The sequence below is a fragment of the Homo sapiens genome, chromosome 3, assembly GCF_000001405.40.
Source record: "Homo sapiens chromosome 3, GRCh38.p14 Primary Assembly".
Classification (NCBI taxonomy): domain Eukaryota; kingdom Metazoa; phylum Chordata; class Mammalia; order Primates; family Hominidae; genus Homo; species Homo sapiens.
Genome location: NC_000003.12, coordinates 26243975 through 26249365, shown reverse-complemented (window position 1 = coordinate 26249365; position 5391 = coordinate 26243975). Strand labels below are relative to the sequence as shown.

General features: G+C 39.1%; 2 annotated features.

The window, feature by feature from the left end:
* Positions 4014-4514: an enhancer, noted in NCBI's record as "H3K4me1 hESC enhancer chr3:26286343-26286843 (GRCh37/hg19 assembly coordinates)". NCBI's record gives its function as "activates a minimal SCP1, AML or CMV promoter by ChIP-STARR-seq in primed H9 embryonic stem cells {active_cell/tissue: H9 hESC(primed)}" and the evidence as "EXISTENCE:reporter gene assay evidence [ECO:0000049][PMID:30033119]".
* Positions 4515-5015: an enhancer, noted in NCBI's record as "H3K4me1 hESC enhancer chr3:26285842-26286342 (GRCh37/hg19 assembly coordinates)". NCBI's record gives its function as "activates a minimal SCP1, AML or CMV promoter by ChIP-STARR-seq in primed H9 embryonic stem cells {active_cell/tissue: H9 hESC(primed)}" and the evidence as "EXISTENCE:reporter gene assay evidence [ECO:0000049][PMID:30033119]".

The window sequence follows — 5391 nt, the reverse complement described above, 5'->3', positions numbered from 1 at the left end:
CCAAAGAGATTAAGAACAGCATTATAAATGAAAGTGGATTAGCTCAGGATATACTATTTGTAAGAGAGGAAATTTCTCCTCCTACACTCAATTCTTAAGAATTTGGGACTTGTCATTTTTCTGTGTGATGTTCCACGATGTAATGAAATAAATGAGGATATCTGGAGCTAGCAAAATACCTACAAAAAAGTTCTTCTTAGAATATGATAACACATAAAAGCTTTCAGGATGGATTTCTAGCCCTAGAAAGCAACCTCATGGGAAAACAAACTTTTTTAGTACTGGGTGTGACCCGGTGGTGTTATCCAGTTCAAAGTCCTTATGTTTACATCTGGTGACACTAAAGTTGCTCACAGGTAGGAAATGGTTTCATAGACCATCCAGCTTGTTAATATCTGGGCTGGCATGAGAAGGACAGTCTTCAAAGGTTTCTTTTTTGTTCTTTCTGATAAACCAGTGATATTCAGCCCAGAGTCCCAGGTTAGTGAATGAGGAAAAGTATGAGCTTACAAGTCATTTTCAGTAATTCTAGAGATCTAAAGGGAAATCTAATAACACAGGTATGGAAGACAAATTTAAAAATCAATTTTCTTTCATTTTACCTGGAGTTATGTAAATTCAGTATGGTCACACTAATGCTCTCATGCTGCCCAGAAGCTCCACAAAGTTTCTGAAAAAGATTCAAGCAACCTCAGGGTAGAATTTTCTGGAATATGATTGGTGGATCTGACTCTGACACAAGAGTCATTATGTAAAGAAGACACCCCCCTTTCTAAGTAGAATCTGCTCACTTAGACCAAAATGCAGAGACAGCTAAACTAACGTTGCCCATAGGAATGAATGGTGCTTATTGCCTGTATACTTATCTAACTTCACTATGTAGTAGCATCATAACTGAAGTAATGATTTATGCATAATCATAATACGATGGTAAACTTGGATCATTCATTTAAATTTGAATTCATGCTTAAATGGAAAGCCAGTAATAACTCAGATGGAACTAATTATTTATTGTTTAATGCATGCAGTTTAGAAAAAAATTTCAAAACACAAGTCCTTGGTGACATTAAAAAGAAAAAAATCCTAAAATTACTGTGCTATATCAAGCTACTTCTTGTTACAAATTTACATTTTAGGCCCCTGAGCTATAATTTTTAAATTTTCAAAGGGAACAGATTTTCAGGAAAAAAAATACCTACAAAACAGGAGCTGTTTGGAAAGAATTTAACTTCACATTCCAAATGAATAAAAAATTTTTTTCCCACTGGAAACACCAAACTTTGAAGCATATTGCTTCATGGCTTAAGATAAACATACTCAGCTAACCCGGTTGTATCAAACATTTAAATTTATCATAAAAGAATAATTACGGGAATTCCACATATTTATGACCTCAGATATTCCAGGAAACTCAGTTAGGTCATTAGATCCACACCAAAGCATATTACTCCTGCTTACTCTCTTGCCAGGCTTTTATCTTTCTAGCTGCAAAGCTTCAAAAGTCGCTTCTATGAAGCCATTTGGCCTTATCTGATCTTGCTTTCTCAGGGGACTACTCCTAACTGACCACAAAGCACTAGGGCAGAGATGCTGTGCCATTAAAAAGAAAGATGTAGTAATTTAGTTAAATATGAACTGCATAGGAATTCTGTTAGCTAAACACATTCAAAAACAAACAAACAGAAAAGAAATCAAGTTTCTTTTGAAATACTTCATAGTTCGAAAATTCATAGTTTGAAAAACTATGAATGACATGCAAAGTGGAAATTACTATCAACATATTCAACGTTAGGAGGCACTGTCCTGGGTAGTTGGTCAATTCTCTCTTACTATAATCTTCAGAGGAAAAGATGCATATTCATTTGGCCGCAACTGGATACGAGCTTTGTAGATTTTTATATTTTTATAATTTTAAATGTTTTACATTTTCAACATTTTTAATCCCTTTTAGATCAGTTGCCAATAATTCAAGTCGGTCTTCCCCATAAATCTCAAGATTTGTATCAAAAATCCCAAATTCCAATAGATCCAAAAACAAGCAACCAAGGAAGCCTCCAAAGTATTTCTCTTAAAACAAATTGTTCTTTAAATATTTAAACAATGCGAAGGAAGAGAGTTTACATTTGATAGATACCTACCATATTCCATACATCGTGCTCAGCACTTTAGATAAAATATCTTGATATCTGTACACATGGTATTAATATACTCATTTTCAATGAGGAAATTAAAGCTTGAGAGACTGAATGGCCCAAGGGTGAGAGCTAATAGATGGCAATGCTGAAACAACCCCTACAGAAGAAGCAGCTCAAATTTTACTACATTATCCTCACTTAATTAAATTAGATGCAGAGTTGCACTCAGTACACATATCCAGTGCATTAGAGCTATTAGGTTCCAAGTAACAAACACTCAACTTAAACTAGTTTAAACAAAATAAGGCATTTTATTAACCTCCTTAAACAAAGAAGAAATTGGAACTGGCTTTAAGAATGACTAGAATCATGGACTTAAACAAAGTTAAGCCTCTCTCTTTCTTCTCTCTACATTGATTTCTGGACATGGTAAAGGACATGGTCCCAGAAACATCACTCTCTAATATTACAGTCTTGGGATATAAAACCCCCATCTACCAGCTGCTAATGAAAAAATATTTAGGGCAAAGTCTCTCAGCAGCACCATTATTGACATTTCAGACTGGATAATTCTTTGTTGTGAGGTCTGTCCTAGACATTGTATATGTTTAGTAGCATTGTTTACCCTTACCTAGTAGTTGCTAATAGCCCCCCCAATCATCCCCATCATAACAATTACAAATTGTTTATAATGCCAAATGTCTTTCACTGTGGGGTAGCAAAATATTCTTGTACTGAGAATCACTGCTTTAGAGAGAACTATGACTAGTCTGGTTCAGTGTAAGTACCCACTCTTAAACAATTCTCATGCCCAGAAAATGGAGTCATTTAAAAAGATGGCAACTCCAGTTCAGGCCACATGCTAGAATGGGGTTGTGGGAAGCGGAAACAAAATTCATTAAGAGGAGAAAAGTACAGCATTGACGTGGTCCCTAAGAAAGTCACTGAGACTGGGCTGTACTCCAATTTGTGTCAATTCCATGCAGATTATAGCAGGAAAGCAAATCAAATGAGCATCTTCACCTGACCCAAATGAAGTCTTATGAATCATTCACGGCCAAATGCCCATATCGTCTATTGCATTCACTATGATATTCTATATTCAAATTGCTCCAGTGGAAGATATAATACATTATTTTTTCACCAAGCTCAATATTCCAAGCACATTTTTTAAACATGCAGCAAGTTTACTTGTTCAAGGTAGAAGATTATAATAATAGCTAACACTTATTGAGTACCTATTAAGTGCCAGGCACTAATTTATGCATTTTTCATTTATCTTATTCAATACCCACAATGGTCCTATCAAATACGCACTATTGTTACCTCTATCTTATAAAAGAAGAAAAATATCTTACAGAGGTTAAGTGACTTACCCATGGTCATCTAGCTGGGATTTCAAATCATGTCTGTTTAATATTAAAATAAATGCTCTTATATAAAAATAAATGCTATCCATAGCTTTTTGGGACCCAAAACTGAAGAGCCAGGAAAGGGACAAAAGAAGTCAATATGGTTCTTCTTTTCCGTTTTCTCCAGTTATCTCCTCCCACCTATATGCCACTCCTCACCCTTACACACACATGTCTTTCTAGGAATAAAGAAAACATCACTGAGACATTTTTTAAAGTAAATTACTAATAAGTAGAGACAACTCAAAAACCAAACACTGAAAAGGATAGGTAAGGGTTAATCAGCTTTCATTTCTATTAAATTATGGCCCATTTTAACTGACATTTATGAAGCAGGAGGGCAAAGGATAGGCAGGATAATTGCTGAGAAATATACCCCTCAGGGGAGCAGCATCACAGCAAGCAAAATTCCTTTCCAGAGAATTAGCAAAAGTAGTTGCAGATCTTAAATGTTGCAGAGAGTTATAAAGAAATCACAAAAAGTAGAGTCTAGGAGAACTCAACAACATTAATAAGTCCAGGAAGTTCTGAACCTCAGGATAGTTACCAAAGAGGATTTTCTTGCTCTGAATAGAAATCCTTAAGAAGAAATAGGAGGATTACATAGGGGTGGAGCCAAGATGGCCAAATAGGAACAGCTCCGGTCTACAGCTCCCAGCATGAGTGACGCAGAAGACGGGTGATTTCTGCATTTCCACCTGAGGTACCGGGTTCATCTCACTAGGGAGTGCCAGACAGTGGGTGCAGGACAGTGGGTGCAGCGCACCGTGCGAGAGCCGAAGCAGGGTGAGGCATTGCCTCACTCGGGAAGCACAAGGGGTCAGGGAGTTCCCTTTCCTAGTCAAAGAAAGGGGTGACAGACGGCACCTGGAAAATCGGGTCACTCCCACCCTAATACTGCGCTTTTCCGACGGGCTTAAAAAATGGCGCAGCAGGAGATTATAACCCGCACATGGCTCGGAGGGTCCTACGCCCACGGAGTCTCGAAGATTGCTAGCACAGCAGTCTGAGATCAAACTGCAAGGCTGCAGCGAGGCTGGGGGAGGGGCGCCCGCCATTGCCCAGGCTCACTTAGGTAAACAAAGTAGCTGGGAAGCTCAAACTGGGTGGAGCCCACCACAGCTCAAGGAGGCCTGCCTGCCTCTGTAGGCTCCACCTCTGGGGGCAGGGCACAGACAAACAAAAAGACAGCAGTAACCTCTGCAGACTTAAATGTCCCTGTCTGACAACTTTGAAGAGAGCAGTGGTTTTCCCAGCATGCAGCTGGAGATCTGAGAACAGGCAGACTGCCTCCTCAAGTGGGTCCCTGACCCCTTGACCCCCGAACAGCCTAACTGGGAGGCATCCCCCAGTAGGGGCAGACTGACACCTCATACAGCCAGGTACTCCTCTGAGACAAAACAGAACAATCAGACAGCAGTACTCGCGGTTCACAAAAATCGCTGTTCTGCAACCTCCGCTGCTGATACCCAGGCAAACAGGGTCTGGAGTGGATCTCTAGCAAACTCCAACAGACCTGTAGCTGAGGGTCCTGCCTGTCAGAAGGAAAACTAACAAACAGAAAGGACATCCACACCAAAAACCCATCTGTACATCACCATCATCAAAGACCAAAAGTAGATAAAACCACAAAGATGGGGAAAAAACAGAGCAGAAAAACTGGAAACTCTAAAAAGCAGAGCGCCTCTCCTCCTCCAAAGGAATGAAGCTCCTCACCAGCAATGGAACAAAGCTGGATGGAGAATGATTTTGATGAGTTGACAGAAGAAGGCTTCAGACAATCAAACTACTCCGAGCTACAGGAGGAAATTCAAACCAAAGTCAAAGAAGTTGAAAACTTTGAA